This window comes from Homo sapiens, chromosome 4, assembly GCF_000001405.40.
Source record: "Homo sapiens chromosome 4, GRCh38.p14 Primary Assembly".
NCBI classification, from domain to species: Eukaryota; Metazoa; Chordata; class Mammalia; order Primates; family Hominidae; genus Homo; species Homo sapiens.
This window is the reverse complement of record NC_000004.12, coordinates 108,763,277-108,788,355: the sequence shown is the minus strand read 5'-3', so window position 1 is coordinate 108,788,355 and position 25,079 is coordinate 108,763,277. Positions and strand designations below refer to the sequence as shown.

The window sequence follows — 25,079 nt, the reverse complement described above, 5'->3', positions numbered from 1 at the left end:
AAAAAAAAGCAAAAGTTGACCAAAGGTGCATTTTTGTTTAGGCTCCCTGAGGTTCCATTTTACAAGTGATCCAACATTAACTACCTTTTCTTGTGTATGCTTTCCAAAGTATGTTTTTTCCTCTTAATGTTGAATTAAAATATTTGCTCATAGTTGACTTACCATTCCTACAAAACAAGCAGAAACTTTGAGCAATCTAGGTTTTTTAAAAAGTTTTTTCTTTCTTCCTCTCCTAAATACACTCCCCAAAACACCCCTTTCCAGTTATAATTAGCATCGTGATCCAAGAGGATGCTACATGGAAGAGGAATCGCCATTTACTCAGAAAAAAATGTCCCTTACAGGAACCGGCAGCAGCTAGACAAAGTCGGTCCCTGCTGGCCGGCCTCCATCCAAAATCACGCTCGCGTGCTTCAGAAGCATCCGTGACACTCCCTTCCCGCTTTTTCTTGCACATCAGCCGAGGCCGGTGTCGGTTCTGTTTCTCCCCTTTGCTGCCTGTACGCCCACAGACTTCTGGCTGCGCCATTATAGAATCTGCCGTGTTCCTCCTGGTGGGGGTGTTGGGGGTCTGTGTTTAGCCATTTATGCCTATTTTAGCTGTAAAAGAAGTCCAAATGAAAATCAGGTGATGGTGGAACCATGGGGACTTGGGGGTGGGGCAGAGATGGGAACATTTGTATCAGTTGAGTCAGCTTCGTGGCTCCCTGTGGAGCCAGGGCCGAGCCTTGTCATGCGCACTTGCCAATTAGAGATTGATCAGCCAGCAGTCAAGTGCATTCTCCCGTTCTTGCAAGAAGGATCAGCCCTTTCCATACCAGCCTTGTGCAAGACGTGCTTTGGTCTCCTTTTCTCTCCTACCTGGATCCTGCCTCTCACGGGCCGTCCTATTGCTGAGACTCGGGGTACCTTTCTGCTGACCCAGCTCCCTTTAGTCACGTTTGCTTGGCTCTGGTACCAAATAGTTGGGATTACCAAAGAGTCCCCTTCCTCGTGTGTCAGCACGGATGCTGTGACTGCCAACCGCGACCCTGTCAAGTGCCCATGCCCGAGCTTGCCACCCTGTGCGCTGCGCTGAGTGACTAACGGGGTGCCTTTCCCAGAACCCTGCTCTCACCTGGACCCAAGACAGGCGACAGCTCTGGCTGGGGCTCTTGGTTTCCAGAGGGTCTGGACTGGTTTGGGTGCTTTAAAATAGATATTTAGTTCAGTGGTGCTTATGGAGGCGATGGGAATAGAACTTAAGTGTGAGACTTGGGTGAATGGTTGTTAAATATTGGTGTCTTCAAGTTTTTCGTTTTTTTTTTCTTTTGCTGTTGTTACCACTTATCACTGTCTCTATGTTAAAATGCCAAAAGCTATCTAGTTGTTGTTGCTTTTTTCCCAAGTTTCCACCCCATCACTCCTTACCGTGACTCCTGCTGGCGGAGGGTACGAAGCAGTGTCTGTCCCTGCAGTCCAAAGGCCCTGTGGGAGGAGACTGGCCTGCATCTCTCTAAGACTTAGTCTGACACCATGCTCATCTCTTGTTCTGTGTTCAATCAGTAGTCCAGGAGAGATCTTCTGCCACTTCAGAGCTTTGTTAAACTAACCTAATTTGTCCAAATCACCCCCAAACCACCATCTCTGATTCAATCTTACATGCGACAGCCTGATCCGTTTCTCTGGACAGGTGTCTTTCCTGGAATGCAGCCCAAGCACTGTTGCTCCTCGCACCCTTCAGGTCTCTCCTTTGAGTCGTGGTCACTGAGAGGGTTGAGGAAGCAGCACCTGAGGTCCCAGCCTTTGCAGGAGCCGCCTTGGGCAGATCTGGGCTTAGATCTTCCGGTGGCCTCATGTAAACCCAACAGCCAGCCTCTTCCAGAACCCTTGACAGGGACTGGGGGAGGAAAGGGATCTTCGAAGTGAAGACTGCCATGTCCCACACCTCTTTTTGGCTTAGACTGAAAAATGAACTTCCTAATGGGTTAAATCCTTTAAAACAAGGAGTTGGGGGGAAGGACGTCATGCATTCTTAGAGAAAGGTACACAGTCGCCCAGCTGGGAACGTGCTTGGCACTGACCCTGCGGGCATCTGACTGGTCTTCCAGCTCAGGAAAAAGAATTTGAAAGAGGCCTAGAGTGAAGGGGAATCAAAGAGGAGGTTGTGATTTGGTCAAAGGATCCTGGTTTAGTGCTGTAATTATTTCATATATATGTATTTCTTGGAGTAAACATTTTAAATAATTTTTTTTGAGACGTAGTCTCACTCTCTTGCCCAGGCTGTAGTGCAGTGGTGCAATCTCCACTCACTGCAACCTCCACCTGCCGGGTTCAAGTGATTCTCCTGCCTCAGCCTCTTGAGTAGCTGGGATTACAGGCTCCTGCCACCATGCCTGGCTAACTTTTGTATTTTTTAGTAGAGACGGGGTTTCTCCATGTTGGCCAGGCTGGTCTCAGCTTCCCAAAGTGCTAGGATTACAGGCGTGAGCCACCATACCCACTTTCATGCATTTTTAAAATTATATTATTTGTTTTCTTGGTATTGAATTGTCTGAGTTTCTTATTCATTGTTTCTTTTGCTGTGCAGCTTTTCAGTTTTGTATAATCCTATTTGTCTATTTTTGCTTTTGTTGCCTGTAAGTTTGAGCTGTTATCCAAAAAAATCTTTTCCCAGAACAATGTTATGAAGCATTTCCCCAGGGTTTGCTTCTAGTAGTCTCATAGTTTCAGTACTTACATTTAAATCTTTTTTTTTTTTTTTTTTGTGATAGGGTCTCAAAACCTAGGCTGGAGTGCAATGGCGTGAACACGGTTCACTGAAGCCTCAATCTCTAGGGCTCCAGCAATCCTCCCAACTCAGCCTCCCGAGTAGCTGGAACTACAGGCACATGCCACCATACCTGGCTAATTTCTTTAAATTTTTTGTAGAGAAGTGGTCTTGCTGTATTACTCAGGCTGGTCTTGAACTCCTGGCCTCAAGCAGTCTTCCCACCAAAGCCTCCCAAACTGCTGGGATTACAAGGGTGAGCCACCATGCTTGGCCTACATTTATATTTAATCCATTTTGAGTTGACTTTTGTATGTACTGACAAATAGAGATCTCTTCAATAAACGGTAGTAGGAAAATTGGATATTAGCATGCACAATTTATTGAAGAGACTGCCTTTATTGTCGAGACTACCACCATTTATTGAAAAGACTGCCTTTTCCCCAATGTATGTTTGTGATGTCTTCATTGGAAATCAGTTGGCTATAAGTGTATGAATGTATTTCTTTGTCCTCTATTCTGTTCCACTGGTGATGTGCCTACTTTTATGCCAATACCATGCTGTTTTGGTTATTACTATAGCTTTGTAGTATATTTTGAAGTCAGTTTTAAAAACAAAGATAGTTCTTTTAAATTTATGTTTTTTTTTTTTTTTTGAGACAAAGTCTCACTCTGTTGCCCAGACTGGAGTGCAGTGGTGTGATCTTGGCTCACTAAAACCTCTGCCTCCCAGGTTCAAGTCGTTCTCCTGCCTCAGCCTCCTGAGTAGCTGGGACTACAGGCCTGCACCACCACGTCTGGCTAATTTTTATATTTTTAGTAGAGATGGGGTTTCACCATGTTGGCCAGGCTGGTCTCAAACTCCCAACCTTAAGTGATATGCCCGCCTCAGCCTCCCAAAGTGCTGGGATTACAAGCATAAGCCACTGTGCTCATGCTTGTAAACTGTCAAAGACAGTTTTTAAATTACAAAAATGTCAATGTGTAAACCCAGTTAGATTCCACAGCCCACTGATGTAGCATTTACTACCTAGAGAGTAATATATAAAAATGTATTTTTCTTCTCCAAGATTTCTCACATATGTTAGTTTTTTAATGCCAAAGAAAAGGTTGAATAAAAAATAAAAACAATGCAAAAGAGTATATAATTTTAGTATTTTTACACTATTTAATAATCCCATTAATGTTAATTTTTAAATAAAGTTATATTATAACTTTGTTTCATGAAGTTATAATTTCATTATAAATTTAAAACCCTTACATTGGCAGTATTATGCAATGAACTAAAAAAGTTATCTCTCTGAATATTTAGAGTCTCATTAATAATTAACAAGACTGCTAGGTTTACTATTAGCGAGTAACTGGTTTACAAAAAGGATCAAGACACATTTATGTAAAATCAAATAGTGTATTCAATGCATGGAGAAAATGGAGTGGCCTTTACTCCTGCATCAATGAAAATGTCCAATCCCTCATTTGATTCAAGATTTTTAAATTACTTCTTCTAATTGTGAAATTGAAAAATGTCTGTAATTTGTCTATTTTTCTTTAACTTTATCCCTATCCTTTCTGCATTAACGGCAAATCCCACAGTGAGAAAAATTATAATTTAAGTTTGAGTTTTTAAAGGGTTTTCTACTTCATTCACATCTGACTTCCCATACACTATGCCTAATTGATAAAATTTATTTCAATCTAGTGCAGAATTCTGAGGGATAAAGGTATTTTTATGCACATATCACCGACAGAGGGCAGACCCTGAATGCCAAGGAAAGTTATGTATCCTTCAATGCCCTTGAGCCCAGTTTCCTTATAAGCTCACACATAATAAAGAATTGCAGCTGCAAGTCTTTCCACTCATGTCAGTGACCTCAAATCTAATGCACTTATTTGAAATATATCTTCTCTACACATACATCTTATCTTTCAAATAATTTTCTGTTTTTAAGAAAATGTATCAAAAAGCAAGTAAATAAACAAACAAAATGTTTCTACAAGTCCCAGATCCAAATAATGCAAGAATTAGAATAAGACTTCACATACACAACTAGCACATTTTTCCCGTAAATCCAAGGAAAGATGTGTATTAATAAAATCCAAAGGCCGGGTGCGGTGGCTCATGCCTGTAATCCCAGCACTTTGGGAGGCCGAGGCGGGCGGATCACCTGAGGTCAGGAGTTGAAGACCAGGCTGGCCAACAGGGTGAAATCTCATCTCACTAAAAACACAAAAATTAGCCAGGCATGGTGGCGCATTCCTGTAGTCCCAGCTACTCGAGAGGCTGAGGCAGGAGAATCGCTTGAACCCGGGGGATGGAGGTTTCAGAATGCTGAGATCGTGCCACTGCACTCCAGCCTGGACGACAGAGCGAGAATCCATCTCAAAAACAAAACAAAACAAAAATCCAGAAATCTAGGTGCTAACTATGTAAAGATTTATATTTCAATTAAAATAATAAACTCTAAACAAATATATTGCCCCAGGAGACTCATCTAATGAAAACTGGCTTTAATGAAAACAGCCTTTGCAGGAGCCGCCCTGAGCAGAGCTAGGCTTAGATCTTCCAGTGGCCTCATCTAAGGGACTTGCCTGAGTGTTAATGAATTCTTAACTTTTAAAATTTAAAATTAAAAATTTAATTAAAATGTAAAATTAAATGAATTGTTTAGGTTCTTTTTTAAAATAGTAATATTATATCCTATAAAGTCAACTCTGTAGAGCAAGTTCTAAAAATTCAATTAATATAAAATTATTGGCCAGGCGCGGTGGCTCATGTCTGTAATCCCAGCACTTTGGGAGGCCGAGTCGAGCAGATCACCTGAGGTTGGGAGTTCTAGACCAGCGTGACCAACATGGAGAAACCCTGTCTCTACTAAAAATACAAAATTAGCCAGGCGTGGTGGCGCATGCCTGTAGTCCCAGCTACTCAGGAGGCTGAGGCAGGAGAATCGCTTGAACCTGGGAGGCAGAAGTTGTTGTGAGCCAAGATTGTGCCATTGCACTCCAGCCTGGGCAACAAGAGCAAAATTCCATCTCAAAAAAAAAAAAAAAGTATTTCATTATATTCTAAAGGTGAAATTTGTTTAATATTTTTCTCCTTCTATCTTTCTCAACCTATCTCTCCCACCCTCACGCTTTAAGTCAAAAACACTTTAGCACACAGCATATACAAAGCACCAGAATAAGATTAAGCATTCTTATCTTAATTCTGCCGAGCACCATGCCCGGCAGGTGGCTCATACCTGTAATCCCAGCAGTTTGGGAGGCCGAGGCGGGCGGATCACCTGAGGTCAAGAGTTCAAGACCAGCCTGGCCAACATGGTGAAACCCCATTCTATTAAAAATACAAAAATTAGCTGGCAGTGGTGGTGCATGCCTGTAGTCCCAGCTACTTGGAAGGCTGAGGCAGGAGAATCGCTTGAACCCAGGAGGTGGAGGTTGCAGTGAGCCGAGATTGCACCACTGCACTCCAGCCTGGGCAAGACAGTGAGACTCTGTCTCAAAAAAAAAAAAAAGAAAAAGAAAAAACAAAACAAGGTTTCTGCCTTCAAGGTATGTGCAACCTATATGACAATATAAAATCAACGCATTGGAATGTTCCAGTAGCATAAAATAAATTCTATATTAGTGGCACAAAGAAAGTGTTATGGGGAAAACTGAAAAGAAACATTAAATAGTTCTTGAACTAATGGTTCTGAAAGTGAAGAAAAAGTGCTTGTATATTATCTACCTGGTTTTTAAGCCCTGAATCAAGGTTTTCTTAGTGAGTAATTACATTCCAACTAGAGTTTAACAGAGGTTCAGTTACAATTGAAAATGAATTTGTTTCTGCACAAATTCATTTTCAATGGTAGATTTTAACTATAGAATAAATGGTAGATTTTACTATTTTTCAGTGGTAGATCTTTAACATATAAAATCTTTTGGCCAGGTATGGTGGCTCATGCCTGTAATCCCAGCACTTCAGAAGGCTGAGGTGGGAGGACAACCTGAGGCCGGGAGTTCAAGACTAGCCTGACCAACATGGAGAAACCCTGTCTCTACTAAAAATACAAAAAAAAAAAAAAAATTAGCCGGGCGTGGTGGTGCATGCCCGTAATCCCAGCTACTCGGGAGGCTAAGGCAGGAGAATCGCTTGAACCTGGGAGGAGGAGGTTGCAGTGAGCTGAGAGCATGCCATTGCACTCCAGCCTGGGCAACAAGAGTGAAACTCCATCTCAAAAATACGTACGTACATACATACATACATACATATCTTTTATATATCACCAATGGACAGGCAGAGCAGTGACCTGTCTGGGAGTGGACTGGAGTCCTAGGACTGTCCCCTGAAACCAGTGGTGGCTTTGGGCCATGGTGACCCTCAAAATGAGAGGAATTCAAAAGGAGGGGTTCCCAGAAAATGGTGTACCTAATGGTTCTGCTGGAACACATAGGACAATCCTCATTTTTATTCCACGACAGAATGTAGTTAAGACTATGGAAAACAGCTTGTGATTTCTCCTTCAACCTCTGCTAATCACTAAGTGTGTTTACTGAGGTACAAAATAAGAAAGTAGTTCAAGGATCAAGAAAAAAGTACATCTGGAAATAAAGGAGAGTGTATTTTCATTTATTTTTGAGCATGAAAGAATCTGTAGAGCCAGGTACAGTGGCTCATGCCTGTAATCCCAGCACTTGGGAGACCAAGGCAGGAGGGTCACTTGAGCCCAGGAGTTTGAAACCTGCCTGAGCAACAAAGTGAGACCCCCATCTCTACAAAAAAAATTGTAAAAATTAGCCAGGTGTTGTGGCATGCACCTGTAGTCCCAGCTACTCAGGAGGCTGAGGTGGGAGGATCACTTGAGCCCAGAGGTCGAGGCTGCAGTGAGCTATGATCATGTCACTACACTCCAGCCTGGGCAACAAAGTGAGACCTTGTCTCTAATAAAAATTTTAAAATTTACAAATGATCTATAAATATAATGCCTATATGCCCCCTCTACTCTCTCCAAAGTTATCCAGAAAGCACATGGTTAGTCTAACTCCACATAATAATCTCCCCAAAACTCTATCTTCCTTCTTCAAGTTATATATCATGGCAAATAATTAGCAACATTTGACTAACATACATTTTATAATCTTTCTTCTATATAATATCTTGCCCAAATACTGCCACCACTGTAAATGGTAAAGAATCCTATGCCTAGGATCTTCAGCATTATGAGGACTAAAAGAACTAAAAACACACTCTAGGTAAGCCTTGAGGTCACACCTACTAATAAAATAAGTGCACTTACTACTGTTACCATTATTATCAACATATCACACAATAGCTTATCTTTTGCACATTCCCCAACTTAAAAATCATTTCATGTAAAATGACATCTGAATCTTACCCAATCTATAAAAACAAGCTCAGGAAAGTGAATTGCCTTGCTGCCAATCCCCCATAGGAAGTGAGGAATAGGGACTAGAATCCAAGCTTCCTGGCTCCAGCTCCAGGCAGAAGGAGTTTCAGATGTCTCATGAGACCTCTCAAGAAAGCTAAAGCTGTCAATAATGAGTTACTATTAGGAGGCTCAGAACCACTTTAATTCAAGATTACAGCAAAGTGCAGGGTGATGCACATTCAGGGATAAGGAATAAAATCAACCACTAGCCCTACACACGTCCTGGTAATTCAGCACTATTAGGTTTATTATCTTCCTGAAACTGGAGGTGGGAAACTGGTTTGGGTCAGAAATAACTCACTAAAATAGCCTAGCACATTACCAATAAGAACCAACATATTTACCATTCGTCAGGATTATTAATTTATTTACCCTCCTTCCCTGCAGAGCCAGCTACCCTATTTTACCGAACGAAACCAAAAAAGAGAAAAACTAAGTGATTTGATCAAGGCCACAAAAGTAAGCTCAGAGTCAGGACTTGAACCCAAGCCCTCTAACTCTAAAGTCTGAACTCTCACACCAAGCTATTCTATATCTCAGCAGAGCTCCTCACAATCAGAGCACTAAATAGTTCGGCTCCACCATGACAAAGGGCAAGCAGGAAAGCTTCTTTCTTTTTCCAAAACTTCCTTTTAAAAAACTCTTTGCCGGGCATGGTGGCTCATGCCTGTAATCCCAGCACTTTGGGAGGTCGAGGCAGGTGGATCACCAGAGGCCAGGAGTTAGAGGCCAGCCTGGCCAAAGTGGCGAGACCCCATCTCTACTAAAAATGCAGAAATTAGCCGGGCAATGTGGCGTACACCTGTAATCCCAGCTACTCAGGAGGCTGAGGCAGGAGAATCACTTGAACCCAGGAGGTGGAGGTTCCAATGAGCCAAGATTGTGCCATTGCACTCCTGCCTGGGTGACAGAGTGAGGCTCTGTCTCAAAAACAAACAAACAGACAAACAAACAAACAAAAAACCTCTTTATTTATCCAAGTACTTCGGGAGGTCAAGGTGGGAGGACCGCTTAAGCCTGGGAGATTGAGACCAGCCTGGACAACATGGCAAAATCCTGTCTCTACAAAAATTACCTGGGTGTGGTGGCATGCGCCTGTGGTCTCAGCCACTTGGGAGGCTGAGGTGGAAGGATTGCTTGAGCCTGGGAGGTCGAGGCTGCAGTGAGCCAAGATTGCACAACTGCACTCCAGCCTGGGTGAAATAGTGAGACTCTGACTCCAAAAAAAAAAAAAAAATCCTCTTTATTTAGTATGACATTCAAAATCCTGGCATTCGGGTGTATGCCTCAAATACCACGGAAAGATGCTATCAACCTGAAGCAGTACTAGGAAAACAGAACGAAGTGTGAGGAAAACTGAGTAGCATGAAAAGGCAGAGTGTGCTGTCCACAGGGAGAGGATGCACACTGGCAGGTCGAAGATTCTGCATTAGAGGACAAATGACAAGGAGATTGTTGAAGTGCAAAGAAAAACACGGAGTATATCTCTTAGAACTCACAGTACCTTTTTTTTTCCAAATAAAATATATGTATGTATCAACATTTTTTTTTTTTGAGACAGGGTCTCGCTCTGTCCCCCAGGCTGGAGTGCAGTGGCGCCATCTCAGCTTACCGCAAGCAAGCTCTGCCTCCCGGGTTCACGCCATTCTCCTGCCTCAGCCTCCCAGGTAGCTGGGACCACAGGCGCCCGCCACCACGCCCGGCTAATTTTTTTGTATTTTTAGTAGAGACGGGGTTTCACCGTGTTAGCCAGGATGGTCTTGATCTCCTGACCTCGTGATCTGCCCACCTCGGCCTCCCAAAGTGCTGGGATTACAGGCGTGAGCCACCGTGCCCAGGCTCAACAACATTTTAAACTTCTTTGGTCAGAAATCTTTATTTTTAAAAAATGCAGAGGTGTTTTTTAAGCTTCTATGAACCTTCATAACTAACATAAGTGATCGGTTGAGTCTCTTTTAGTTAATTCTTCTGGGAAAAAGAGGTGTGGGTAGCATGGGAATTCACAGCTCTTATATTTCAATAAAATGAAAGTGCAAAAGTCATTAATCGATGTCTTACCAAACCAGACATTTTACATACATAATAATAACAATAATAGCTGCCACTTATTAAGCACTTGCTGTAATACCAGACATGATTGAAACTGCCTTTGCAAAGATTATGATAATGGGAAAAGTCTAGCATGGCTGACTCCATCTTGCTTCTAGCCCCACAAGCTGGCTGTCCTCACTCATTCCTGGGCATAGGGCAAACTAACCATAGGAAGAATTTAGTTTACAGTTTAACTTTGAAGCAAGGATGATAACAGTCCCTCCCTAAAACTAACCCCCTCCTTGCTCAGGAACTGAAACCACCTTTGTAAAACTAATGAAAGCCCCCAAGGGTTTATGGGAGGGGCCTGAGTTCTGCTAAAATGTAGGCATAGCATGCCTTGCTATAATCCTTTACTGTGCTGGAGGTCACAAGATCTGAGACTTCCCCAAATGCTCCTATAGATAACATCATTAATGTAGAACCTAAGATTGATATTTTGAGATGCTTTTTCAGACTCCTGCCTTCTGGCTACTGACCAATTCCACCCAAACCTATGACTCAGGACTCCACCCAGAGGAGTACTCCATGTTTTTCCACACCCCTATGATTGCATCCCCGACAAAACAACAGCACCCATTCCCTAATGTCCCCATGTCCACCAAACTATTCCTGAAAAATCCTAACCTCTGAGCCTTCATGGAAGTGAATTTGAATAATAAATCCCGTCTTCCTGTTCAGCTGCCTTGCAATAATTAAATTATTTCTCTACTGCAATAACGTGTCTCAGTGAATTGGGTTTATCTGTGCAGTGGGCAAGAAGAACTTGTCTGGCAATTACACTAAAGTGCTTTACTATATTATCTCATTTGACACTACCAACAACATGGAAGCTAGATGCACTGATTTGCCCCATTTTCTTTTCTTTCTTTTTTTTTTTTTTTTTTGAGACACAGTCTCACTCTGTTGCCCAGACTGAAGTGCAGTGATGTGCTCTCTGCTCACTGCAACCTCCGCCTCCCAGGTTCGAGTGATTCTCCTGCCGGCGTAGGCCACCACACTGGCTAATTTTTATATTTTTAGTAGACACGGGATTTCTCTACCATGTTGGCCAGCCTGGTCTCAAACTTCTGACCTCGAGTAATTGGCCCACCTTGGCCTCCCAAAGTGCTAGGATTACAGGCGTGAACCACCACGCCCAGCTGCCCCATTTTTTATAAGAGGAAATTGAATAACTTATCCAAATTCACATGGCTAGCAGATGGTAGAGCCAGGATTTGAATCAAGCACTTTGGCGTTAAGACCTGAATTTTTAACCTGTGTATGAGATGTCTTTTAATTTAAGCCTCTTCACAATCCTGTGTCCTGTGAGACTTTTTTTTATGGCTGAAAAACTAAGTGGCTCAAATAGGTTAAGCAACAGAAACAGAGATTGGTTGCAAATTCAGGTTAGCCTGTCTCCAAAACTCCTCTTCCCTCTACCACAGTTTCCCGAAAAAGAAAAGAGGTACCAATGATGAATACAAGAGACAGGCCTGGGAAACTCCACCGATGCAACCCAAATGTCATCTTGCCCCGTCAAAATCCAGGAAATAGTGTCTATAAACCCCCTTCTGCATTTTGGGAGAAGTCCTACACAGGATCCAGAAGCCAATGGTTCCCAGGCATGGCCGAGGTTGCTGTTTTCTCCTTACCATCTCTGCTTCACTTTCCCACGCCTGCAAAATCCCAGTTTCACTCTTCCTGGGGACACAGGTGTGGAATTCAGCCCTGTTCTCACGATTTCCACAAAACAGTGACATGATAAATACAGTGTGTGTGTATGATACACTTGCCTAAGACTTGGTGGCATAAAGGGTCTACATGACTGTATCAAATCAAGCAAATCAGAATGGAATAATGGAAAGATTCCTTGACCTTTTCTTCTCTGCAGGCTCATCTCATCTCTCTCTTCTTTCCCCTGGTCTCTCCTCCTTGAGCCCTCCATCTCCAGAGCAAGAATGCTCTTCCTCTTTTCCAGGGGGCGCAATTCAGTCACTCACCCTGCCCATTTAAGACCCTGCCCCGAAGCTTACAATTTCATATCCAGAAGCCTTAGGCATTTTGCTTTCCACAGTAGCCCTCTTTCGCAAAGGAAGCGTGATTCTGGTTTTTACAGTACCAATTTTCTCCTTGCTATAAATCATACCACGTATCTTTATAATCAGGAAAACTAAAGGGGAAGGAGTGGTATTTAAAGGTTCAAGACTACAAATATTAAATGCCATGAAAACCTCAGTATACTAAACTTTTTTAAAAGTTTACGTTGGGAGGCCGAGGCGGACGGATCACAAGGTCAAGAGTTCGAGATCAGCCTGGCCAACATGGTGAAACCCTGTCTCTACTAAAAATACAAAAAAAAAAAAAAAAAAAAAAAAATTAGTCGGGTGTGGTGACGCATGCCTGTAATCCCAGCTACTCGGGAGGCTGAGGCAGGAGAATTGCTTAAACCCAGGAGGTGGAGGTTGCGGTGAGCCAAGATCATGCCATTGCACTCTTGCCTGGGCGACAGAGCAAGACTCTGTCTTGGTGGGAAAAAAAATAAAAAGTTTATAAGGGCCAGGCGTGGTGGCTCCCATCTGTAATTTGAGCAATTTGGGAGGCCGAGGCAGGTGAATCACTTGAGCACAGAAGTTAGAGACGAGCCTGGACACCATGGCAAAACCCTGTCTCTACAAAAAATACAGAAATTATTTAGCCAGGCATGGTGATGCATGCCTGTCGTCCCAGCTACTCAGTAGGCTGAAGTGTGAGGTTCAGCTGAAGCCAGGGAGGTCAAGGCTGCAGTGAGCTGTGATCATGCCACTGCACTCCAGCTTGGGTGACAGAGTGAGATCCTATCTCAAAAATAAATAAATAAGTAAAAATTTCAAACAAAAAGTTTATAATACCTAATTTATAATATTAAATTAAATACCCACTTTACTTCTACTTTTAAAAGTTGAACACACATACTGTACAACTTTTGCTGCTTCTGGTCTGCTTCCATGTCCCTGCAGTCTCAGGGACAAGCCAGGAAGAAAGGTCTCTCACTGGGCAAGAACTTGGCAGCCGCATGGCTCCTAAGGCCTGCCAGTTCCCAGTGAAGCTGTTTCCTGGAAAGCTGCCTGGAGGCGTGGGCACCCCTATGTGCCATGTCTGTTATTGCAGTGTCACCCATTATTTCTGTACCTACTTACCTAGAGACTTATTGACATTTCTGGACTTCTTCCACATAAAAAGGAACTATAATATGTCAGCTGAATGCTGCTGCATAGATGGCTTTTTAAAAAGATTGTTCCATTTCACTATGATTTTCAAACATAGACTTTCTCCAGGAAAATCAGCTGATGCTGTCATTCTCAGTCAAATGTGCAAGGAGCTTTGTCTTAACTCTATGTTAGCAGAGACTGTCTTGGTAGTGCCTTTCTACCCTTTGAGAAGAGGGTAGAAAACAATGGCACATCAGGTAGCCCTCAAAGCAGTCACTCAGAATGGAAGGGGCACAGATTTTAGAGTAAAACAGAAACAGACGGGAAACTTGTCCTGGTTCTACCCCAAAGCAGCTTTGTGGACTTGGGCAAATCATACAACCTTCTGAGTCTCAGTTTTCTTCTGTGAAAATGGAGATAATATCTACCCTGCTGATATGAAGATAGGAGAGATGTAAATCCAAGTACCCAGCGTATGCCAATCACATGGTGGGAAGAGGCAATAATTTGTAGCTGTGATTGCTATCCACTAATTACTAAAATTGACATCTATTTGTTAAGTATTTATTGAGACTCTATTGTATGCCAGACCCTGGACTAGATGCTAGGATAAGTGGGATAAGGTTAGATACAGGCCCTAGCTTATAGAACTTTGAACTTTGATTCTAGGGAGAAAAAATAGGCCTTAAGGATATAATGATCACTGCTCTGCCCATGGAGCAGCCATTCTTTTATTCCTTTACTTTCCTAATAAGCTTGCTTAAAATATATATATATATATTTTTTAAGCAAGCTTATTTTACATATATATATATATATAAAATGACACATCTAATTTTTTAAGTAATTAATTAAAACAGTTTACTTCAAACACAATGCCATCCTGAGCTTTTTCTGAGAGGTGGCAGCAGAGTGAACATGACTGAAAAGCACATGCTAATGGCTTTTTTCATTGCTAGGTGTTTTGCCATTATTCTCCTGAATGATACAGAAGTCAAGCTGTCTTTTCTCCTCCTGATTCTTCATCTTCACACTTCCTTTGAGGAATGTTGAACATACTGGTACAAAAGAGCCTTCCTACTTCTTCCTCAATCTCTGTCAAGTGTTGACTTTGGAAAACAATCCAAGGCATGTATGTACAGAAAGTAAAAGGACTCAAAAGAGTTTCCAGTCTTTCTGTGTATCTGACATTTTCTCCTTTCCACAGCACATGTAATGCTTTTTGAACATGCCCAATACTTCTGTGCCAAGTATTACTGTGCTCTTCTAACTTACTTAAAATGAATTTCATCTCTTTTTTTCTCTACTAGGCCCATTGACTGGTTTATTATAAAGGATATTACAAGGGAGGCCAGGTGTGGTGGCTCACACCTGTAATCCCAGCACTTTGGGAGGCTGAGGTGGGTGGATCATTTGAGGTCAGGAGTTCGAGACCAGCCTGGACAACATGGTGAAACCTTGTCTCTACTAACAATACAAAAAACACAGGTGCACTACTGTAATCCCAACTACACGGGAGGCTGAGGCACAAGAATCACTTGACCCCGGGAGGTGGGAGCTGCAGTGAGCTGAGATCACACCACTGTGCTCAAGCCTAGGTAACAGAGTGAGACCCTGTCTCAGAAAAAAAAAAAAAAAAAAAGGATATTACAAAGGATACAGATGAAGAGATGCATAAGGAGAGGTATGAGGGAAGGGGCATGGAGCTTCCATGCACTACCTGGGGCACCAGCCTTCAGGAACCTCCACATGTTCAGCTGCTGGGAATCTCCTAATTTATTTATTTATTTACTTTTGAGATGGAGTTTCTCTCTTGTTGCCCAAGCTGGAGTGCAATGGTGCGGTCTTGGCTCACCGCAACCTCTGCCTCCTGGGTTTAAGCAATTCTCCTGCCTCAGCCTCCAAAGTAGCTGGGGTTACAGGCACCTGCCACCATGCCCAGTTAATTTTTATATTTTAGTAGAGACGAGGTTTCACCAGCTAGGTTTGGCCAGACTAGTCTCGAACTCCTGACCTCAGGTGATCTGCCCCTTGGCCTCCCAAAGTGCTGGGATTACAGGCATGAGCCACTGCGCCCAGCTTCTAATTTATTAATTACAATTGTGACAAGTGCTGCGAAAGAAAAATGGGATACCATGATACTACTAAACAGAGATAGACTAGCTAGACTTGATTTCCTAAGCGGGAGAGAAGGGTAATGGGGTCATGAAGCCACCATGAGCACGCCTCGTTGAAGCTGAGGCCAACAGCCTTGGAGTGAAATGGAGAGAGGTGGGAGGTGACAGTGGGCAGGTGCCAGGAGAGCTTCACGGCTGAGAACTTGGATGAGGGCCAGTGTGGCGAGAGTTGAACAAGCAATAGGGAGAGAGCCCAAGGTGAGGCTGGAGGACACAGGACTTGCAGGCTCCCAGATTTTATTTTTAAGGAGAATGGGAAACCATTAAGAAATATTAGCAGAAGGCTGGGTGTGGTGGCTCACATCTGTAATCCCAGCACTTTGGGAGGCCGAGGCAGGTGGGTCACCTGAGGTCAGGTGATCCAGACGAGCCTGACAAATATGGTGAAACCCCGTCTCTACTAAAAATACAAAAATTAGCTGGGCGTGGTGGTGTGCACCTGTAGTCCCAGCTACTCGGGAGGCTGAGGCAGGAGAATCGCTTGAACCTGGGAGGTGGAAGTTGCAGTGAGCCGAGATCGTGCCACTGCACTCCAGCCTGGGCAACAGAGTGAGACTCGGTCTCAAAAAAAAAAAAAAAAAATAGAAAAGAAAAGAAAAAGAAGTATTAGCAGAGGAGAGTGGTGCCCCAGCTTTTGTAGTAAATGTGTCACTCCTGATGCTCTGAGGATGAGACACTGGAAGGGTACCCAAGAAGAAACCTACAGCGACAATTCTGAGGCTGTCATTGTGATTCAGGCAAGTGGGCTGGGTGCAGTGGCTCATGCCTGTAATCCCACCACTTTGGGAGGCCAAGGTGAGAGGATCACTTAAGCCCAGAAATTTGAGACTGGCCCGGGCAGCACAATGAGAAACTGTCTCTACAAAAATACAAAAACTGGCCAGGAGTGGTGGCACACACCTGTAGTCCCAGCTGAGGCTGAAGTGAGAGGATCACTTGAGCCCGGGAGGTCGAGGCTGCAGTAATCCATGATTGTGCTACTGTACTCCAGCCTGGGCAACAGAGCGAGGCCCTGAAAATAATAATAATAAATCAGGCAAGAGACAGTGGTATCTGAGACTAGGAATACGTTGAAATGGACACATGGCTCTATGCTATCTCCTGTTACAATGCTTCTCAAACTTGCCTGATAATAAGAATCTATGAAACATGTTAAAAATATTGGTTACCAGTACTCCACTCTGGAGATTCAGTTTTAGTGGGTCCAGGATGGGACTGGGGATTTGTGCTTTCCACAAGCTTCCTGGGTGATTCTTGTTATTTGGCAAGTTTGTCTAGTGCTAACCTGTCATGTACACTGAGAAATACACTTTCCTTTTCCTTGCAAAATAAATCCATACTTTTAGAAATTGTGCTTTTCATGGCCCTAACCAAGCCAGGTTGCAAGTGTAAACTTTTAGTTCACATTATGCCTTCTCTATTTAGAACTAAAAGCACTTCAGCTATCATATTTCCAATGTTCAGATCACCTAGATCCATGTTTTTTGAAATGTGTCCTTGAAATATGAATTTTTCAGAGTATTAATGGAGGTACGGCTGTCAAGATAGGCATGAAGCAGATACTTCGTGTCTGCCAAAACTGTGTGGAGCAGCCAGAATGAAGAGTTATAGAATAAAGCAACTGTCTTTTTCTACATTCTGTGAAAGTCCTGCAGAGCTGAATGGCACCTCCCCAGTTCACCATAAGGATACAGTACTTCTCTGCCAAGTCGTCAGATTTGGGACTTTGTTACTCACCTCCCAAACTCTGCCAGTTGTTCCAAAAGAAAATATCGAGACCTTAAGTGGATAGTGTCCTCAGAAAATTCTTATGTATTATCCAGTTGGAAGAAGAAAACTTTTTGCAGTAAACTCTCCTGTTATCTTTTCTGTCTGTTCACCCACAGAGAGGTAGCATAGCATAGTAGTTAAGAGAACGAGCATAAGAATCAGACTCCCAGTGTTCACATCCTGGCTCTTTTACTTTCTAATGGCAGAAGTACTTAATCTCTATGTTCTTCAGTTTTCTCATCTGAAAAAGGTAACAGTAATAGTATATTAATTTGTTAGGGCTGCCGTAACAAAATACTACAGGCTGGGGGGCTTAAACAACAGAAATGTATTGACACAGTTCTGAAGTCTAGACGTTCAAGACCAAGATATTGGCAGGTCTGGTTTCTTCTGAGACCTCTCCCCTTGCCTTATAGATGGCTGCTGTCTTTCAGTGTCTTCAAATGGTCTTTTTCTCTGTGTATATCTGTGTCTTAATCTTTTTTTTCATTTCTTTTTTTTTTTTTTTGAGATGGAATTTCGCTCTTGTTGCCCAGGCTGGAGTGCAATGGCGCGATCTTGGCTCACCGCAACCTCCGCCTCCTGGGTTCAAGCAATTCTCCTGCCTCAGCCTCCCGAGTAGCTGGGATTACAGGCGTGAGCCACCACACCTGGGCAATCTCTTTTTTCTTATAAGGACACTAGTCATAGGGGATTAGGGTCCCTCACCAGTGACCTCATTTTACCTCATTAAAGTCTCTGTCCCCAGTAGAGTCATGTTCTGAGGTATTGGGGGTGTAGACTTCAACACAGAATTTTGGGGGGGACACTAGTCAGGCCATAAGAAATGGTATCCATCCAACAAGGTTATCTCAAGAATTAAAAGACATACTGCATGTGCCTGACATATAGTAAGTGCCCAATAAATGCTGTCTATTGGATGGGCGCAGTGGCTCACACCTGTAATCCCAGCACTTTGAGAGGCCGAGGCAGGTGGATCGCTTAAGAAAATTGCTTGAGCTCAAAAGTTTGAGACCAACCTGGGCAACATGGTGAAACCCTGTCTCTACAAAAAAATACAAAAGTTAGTTGGGTGTGGTGGTGCATACCAGTAGTCCCAGCTATTTGGGGGACTGAGATGGGAGGATTGCTTGAGCCCAAGCAGCGGAGGCTGCAGTGAGCTGAGATTGTCCCACTGCACTCCAGGCTGGGTGGCAGAGCCTGGCTCTGTCTCATAAAAGAAAAAGAAAAGAAAAGAAAAAGAAAATGCTCTCTATTGTTATCCACTCATTCATACTGAGCACCTGTTATGTGTGAGGTACTGTGCTTAAAGTGCTGGGGGTGCAGTGAAGAAAAAGCTTCTAACGTCTCTGCCCCTGGGAAGTTCATGTTCTAGTGGGGCAGGCAAAACAGGTAAACAGAAATGGACACAGTGAGAAGTGCTATGAGGAGACTAAAACATAGTAATAGGATAGAGCGGTAATGTAACAGGGCAGAGAGGGGCATACTTTGTCTCTAAAGAACCAGATAGCAAATATTTTCAGCTTTGTAGGCCACAACTACTCAACTCTACTGTTCTAAAGCAAAAGCAGTCATACACAATACATAAGCAAATGACCATGGCTATGTTCCAATAAAACTTTATTCATGGACACAGATTTAAATTTCTGTTTTCTTTCTTTCCTTTTTTTTTTTTTTTAAAGACAGAGTCTCTCGCCGTCACCCATGTTGGAGTGGAGGGGCACAATTTCAGCTCACTGCAACCTCCACCTCTTGGGTTCAAGCTATTCTCCTGCCTCAGCTTCCGGAGTAACTGGGAATACAGGCACATGGCACACCTGGCTAATTTTTTGTATTTTTAGTAGAGACAGAGTTTCACCAAGTTCACCAGGCTGGTCTAGAACTCCTGACCTCAGGTCATCCACCTGCCTCGGCCTCCCAAAGTGCTGGGATTACAGGTGTGAGCCACTACACCTGACCACACATTTAAATGTCATATAGTTTTCAAGTGTTATGAAATACCCTTCTTCTTTTGATTTAATTATTTAAACATATTAAAACTGTTCTTAGCTCATGGGTCACACAAAAACAGTCAGTGGGGCTGATTTGGTCCCTAGGTCTTAGTTTGCCAACCTTTGCTCTAGGAAGTTGACCCTGGCAGAGATGAAAAACTTTACCCACTTAGATTCAGTGCTGAGGCTTGTGAACTAAACTTGACAGAAGACAGACTGATGAAAGAAAAGACAAATTTTTATTCATGTGTGTATGTGGGAGCACAAAGAAAAGTGTGACTTAAAAGAACAGTTAGTGGCCAGGCACAGTGGCTCAAGCCTGTAATCCCAGCACTTTAGGAGGACAAGGCAGGCAGATCTCTCGAGGCCAGGAGTTCGAGACCAGCCTGGCCAACATGGTGAAACCTCGTCTCTATTAAAAATACAAAAAATTAGCCAGGCATGGTGGTGGGCATCTGTAATCCCAGCAACTTGGGAGGCTGAGGCAGGAGAATCACTTGAATCCAGGAGGTGGCGGTTGCAGTGACCTGAGACTGTGCCATTGCACTACAGCCTGGGCAACAAGAGCAAAAATCCATGTAAAAAAAAAAAAAAAAAAAAGAATTGGGAGCTTATAAACCATCTTAAGAGGAGAAAAGAAGGGAGAGGAAGAGAGGAAGAGCACTTACGAAAAAAACAAATGGGCCGGGCGCAGTGGCTCATGCCTGTAATCCCAGCACTTTGGGAGGCTAAGGCGGGCGGATCATCTGAGGTCAGGAGTTTGAGACCAGCCTGGCCAACATGGTGAAACCCCCGTCTCTACTAAAAATACAAAAAAATCAGCCAGGCATGGGGGCAGGCAGCTGTAATCCCAGCTACTTGGGAGGCTGAGGCAGGAGAATCGCTTGAACCCAGGAGGCAGAGGTTGCAGTGAGCTGAGATCACGCCACTGCACTCCAGCCTGGGTAACAAGAGTGAAACTCCATCTCAAAAAAAAAAAAACAAAAAGAAAAAAAGAGAAAAAAATGACATTTAGGAATAATAATGGGACATTTAGGAAGAATAAATGGGTCCTTAGGAAAATACTTGGGAGATAAGATAGCTTTGTGGCAATATCTGCTTAGGCGATCTCTTATCCTGAAGCTGGCTTCTTGGCTCTGGCGACAAGAGTCAATCTTCCCTCTTTGTGAAACTCCTAGGGAGGGGACTTAAGATGATTGAGTTCGTTTGGGAGACTCTGCTTTTAGGTAGATAAGGGAGTTGAGAAAACAAGCCTCTCTGTCATCTGTTGATTCTCAAATGCCTTCAGCTCAAATTAACTTTTATTCTACAGTGGCATATTCTGCTCCACTTCACCATTGGAGATAAACTCACGAGAAATAAACTGAAGCCATATTCTAGATCCCTGTCTCCATCTGGAGCACCATGAAGTACAAGTACCAGTCATCAGCTTCTTGAGTTTTGTATGTGGCTCCTAGGTTGGCTAGAGGTTTCAGTAAGAACTAAGATGAGCCTGGGGTATTTAAAATATAACCTTACTGCCCCCTCTCCAGAAGTCTCCTCCACCACACACAAACACAAGTCTGGAAGACTCCTCTGGACTTAGTTTGGAAGGGAACTTCAGGATGAAGGGAGTAGAGAAAAAGGTTTATACAATTTTAAAATTTAATTAATTTATTTAGAGAAAATAAAGATGGAATCTCACTATGTTGCCTGGGCTGGTCTCGAACTCCTGGGCTCAACCGATCCTCCCACCTCAGCCTCCCAAAGTGCTGGGATTAGAGGTGTGAGCCATTGTACCTAGCCAGTTTACACAATCTTGATGTGCCATTGATACACAGTAGAGGCACACATTCACACATATTGTTTTGTTTTGTTTGAGACACAGTCTCACTCTGTCACCCAGGCTGGAGTTCAGTGGTGTGATCTCAGATCACTGCAACCTCCACCTCCTGGGTTCAAGCAATTCTTCTGCCTCAGCCTCTCAAGTAGCTGGGACTACAGGTGCACGCCACCATGCCAGGCTAATTTTTGTATTTTTAGTAGAGATGGGGTTTCACCATGTTGGCCAGGCTGGTTTCAAACTCCTGACCCCAAGTTATCCACCCGCCTTGACCTCCCAAGGTGCTGGGATTATAGGCGTGAGCCACTGCACCCAGCCCACACATATTGTTTGGGGTCAAATGGCTTCTTTGAAGTGGTTTTGAACTCCCAGAGATGGACATCTGTTTTAACCTGTCAGCCTCCTTCTAATCTGAACTAGGAGCTGTGTGCACAGTTATATGCACACGTTGACAGCAGTGTAGACTTCTCAGGTGAAGTTTAGACACGTGAACTATATTGCTCATGCAAAGTTCTGTCTGGGGTCAAGGATGCCCTCTTTGGATACCGTGTGTCAGGTCAGAAAAGCACCACACCCAGCATTTGTCCCAGATGATGTATGATTTTCAGAAAATACAAATCCCTATGAAGGGTAGGGTAGATTAGGGCATGACAGGGTAACAGGAAAGAGTGAAAAGTTTCAAATGCCCATGTTCCATCTTGAGTAATGTCTAATAAGCTGAATAATCTCTGTTCTTGGGAACATACAGTTCACCCACCCATTTTTACAGGGTTTTTACCAAAAAGAAAATTAAAACTTGCCATTCAGACTCTTCTCATTGGACTATTGAATGGAATTCTTATTTTCCCAAGCTTGCGTGGGCTGTACCTCCTCATTTCAGTCATGCACAAGTATGGTTTGTTTGGCCAAGCCTAGGTTGTTGAGAAATCTATGACCTTCGGATCAGGACTCACTTAATAGAGTGAGCCAATCAATAATGTCAGGACCAAAACTGAAAGAACGTCAACTTCTTTTTTTCTTTTCTTTTCTTTTCTTTTTTTTTTTTTTTTTTTTGAGACAGAATCTTGCTCTGTTACCTAGGCTGGAGCTGGAGTGGCATGATCTCAGCTCATTGCAACCTGCACCTCCCAAGTTCAAGTGATTGTCTTGCCTCAGCCTCCTGAGTAGCTGGGACTACAGGCACATGCCATCACAGATGGCTAATTTTTTGCATTTTTAGTAGAGATGGGGTTTCACCATGTTGGCCAGGCTGGTCTTGAACTCCTGATCTCAAGAGATCTGCCCACTTCTGCCTCCCAAAGTGCTGGGATTGCAGGTGTGAGCCACCATGCCTGGCCCAAGTGTCAACTTCTGGAGAGAAAAGACACTACAGCATACATTCCTACCAAATAATTCTACATTTGAGAAGTACATGAGAAAATATACCCCAAAATACCTTGGGATTTGTTTTTTGATAAAGCTTTGTATAGTGTGGATGTCTGTCGACTTTCATCCATCCTTATTTTGATCCATTATGTGTCAGTTCTTTATTTAAAGACTGTCCTTGGTACTCAGTCAATGTTATATATTCTATCGTGAAAAAAGTTAAATAATGGGGAAATTATCTTTTATGTAACAGTGACTTGCTTTCCCATAAAAGATAATGAATCTAAGAAGCCTTCTCCTAAATAAATGGTTAAAACATAAGGTAGCACTCTTGGGAAAGAGTGAAGAGAAAAGAAGAGGGTTCAGGACTCTACCCTTATAAAGACCAAATCATGATCTCATTCAAGCCCTACTTGTAATGCTTTGAGTCAGAGAGTTTCTTCTTTTTATGAGACAGGGTCTCACTGTGTCATCCAGGCTAGAGTGCAGTGGCACAATCTTAGCTCACTGCAGACTCTTCCTCCTAGGCTCAAGGGATCCTCCCACCTCAGCCTGCCGAGTAACTGAGATTACAGGTACACGCCACCATCTCTGGCTCATTTTTAAATTTTTTGTACAGACAGAATTTCACCAGGTTGCCCAGGCTGGTCTCAAACTCCTGAGCTCAAGTGATGCACCTGCCTCAGCCTCCCAAAGTGTTGGGATTACAGCTGTGTAGCTCCCCACCAGCCACAGAGCTCAGTTTTCAATACAAAGAAATTGGGCCTCAGAAAGGTTAAGAAGCCCAGCTGGTTTATGGAAGAACCAGATCTAGAACCCAAGACTCTTAATCCAGAGTTTCTTAAGGCACTGGGAATATTAACAACAAGAATCCATAAAGTTTTATGAAGGAAGTGTGACTATGACTTCACCAGGTCAAGGTGGTTTGAGAGTAGATATACAGTTGGCAATATCTTTCAGGCACAGAACTAGACCAAGATTACATAACTGGGATTTCTTGCAAGTCTCCAAAGTGCTTCCTGCTCTTCATTTATAAAACACGGAATTCTTTTTTTTTTCTTTTTTTTGTGGAGGGGGATGGAGTCTCACTCTGTTGCCCAGGCTGGAGTGCAGTGGCATGATCTCAACCCACTGCAACCTCTGCCTCCCAGGTTCAAGCAATTCTCCCTGCCTCAGCCTCCTGGGTAGCTGGGATTACAGGTGCCCACCACCACGCCCAGCTAATTTTTGTATTTTTTTAGTAGAGATGGGGTTTTGCTATGTTGGCCAGGCTGGTCTGGAACTCCAGACCTCAGGTGATTCGCCCAGTTTGGACTCCCAAAATGTTGGGATTACAGGCGTGAGTCACGGCGCCTGGCCTAAAATCTGGAATTAACACACTGTTCCTCATAGGACTCCATTTCTCTTTCTACCTTAGGCAATCCAATTCTACTCCTCCTGCAGTGCATGAATATATATTAATAACTTTTTTCAAGAGAAAGATCAGTTGCAAATACTTATCAAATGTGTTGATACATGCAAATTAGGCTTTCCCTGCTGCCCTTTCAAAACACAGAGAGAATAAAATGACCTATCCTTAACCCAATGACTAAGTGTTTGTGTGAACTTGAATAAACCTTCACCTTTCCTGTGCCTCACTGTTCTTATCTACAGAGCAGAGAAGTTAAACCAGATGACTTCTAGTTAAAATAATGTATGATTTAATGATTCAGTTAATTAAGATTCTATTGGGAGGCCGAGGCGGGGGGATCACGAGGTCAGGAGATCGAGACTATCCTGGCTAACATGGTGAAACCCCATCTCTACTAAAAATACAAAAATTAGCCGGGCGTAGTGACGGGCGCCTGTAGTCCCAGCTACTCGGGAGGCTGAGGCAGGAGAATGGCGTGAACCCGGGAGGCGGAGCTTGCAGTGAGCCGAGATTGCGCCACTGCACTCCAGCCTGGGTGACAGAGCCAGACTCCATCCTCAAAAAAAAAAAAAAAAAAAAAAAAAAAAAAAAAGTTTCTACCTGTGCACATATTTAGCTTCAGATATGATCTGTGTGAGAAGACCATCTTGAAGGAAGTCAAGAAATCTAAGAATGAGTCCCGTTTTCAGCATCAAGTGGATATATAATCATTAGAACAGGGAATAACCTCACTTTCCCCGTTCATTAAATGGGGTAACACTCGTGGTCATCTCTCAGGGTTGTTTTGAAGACTGAACAAGATAAGTCATGTGAATGTGTTTTGTAAGTTGTATAGTTAGAGGAATTAGAAGTGTAATCATTGTTAAAGGAGATGTTTGAAACACTGCATATATCATCACTGCCAATGGAGATAACAGGCTGAGTCCGGGTTATTTCTCGTTAGGACGCGTCCTTGTGCTGAGTAAATGGTAGGTTACCTTATCAGACTGCGCAGTGAGTCTTGATCCGGGAAGCGCCTAACTCCTGAATTTTTACCAGAAAATAAAGGACTACACTAAAAAGAAACCAGAAAGAACGTGGGAAGGAGGGAATTCGCAGGCA

At 43.2% G+C, this 25,079-nt stretch overlaps 1 annotated feature.

Annotated features, from left to right (window-relative positions):
• Positions 293 to 793: an enhancer, noted in NCBI's record as "H3K4me1 hESC enhancer chr4:109708719-109709219 (GRCh37/hg19 assembly coordinates)". NCBI's record gives its function as "activates a minimal SCP1, AML or CMV promoter by ChIP-STARR-seq in primed H9 embryonic stem cells {active_cell/tissue: H9 hESC(primed)}" and the evidence as "EXISTENCE:reporter gene assay evidence [ECO:0000049][PMID:30033119]".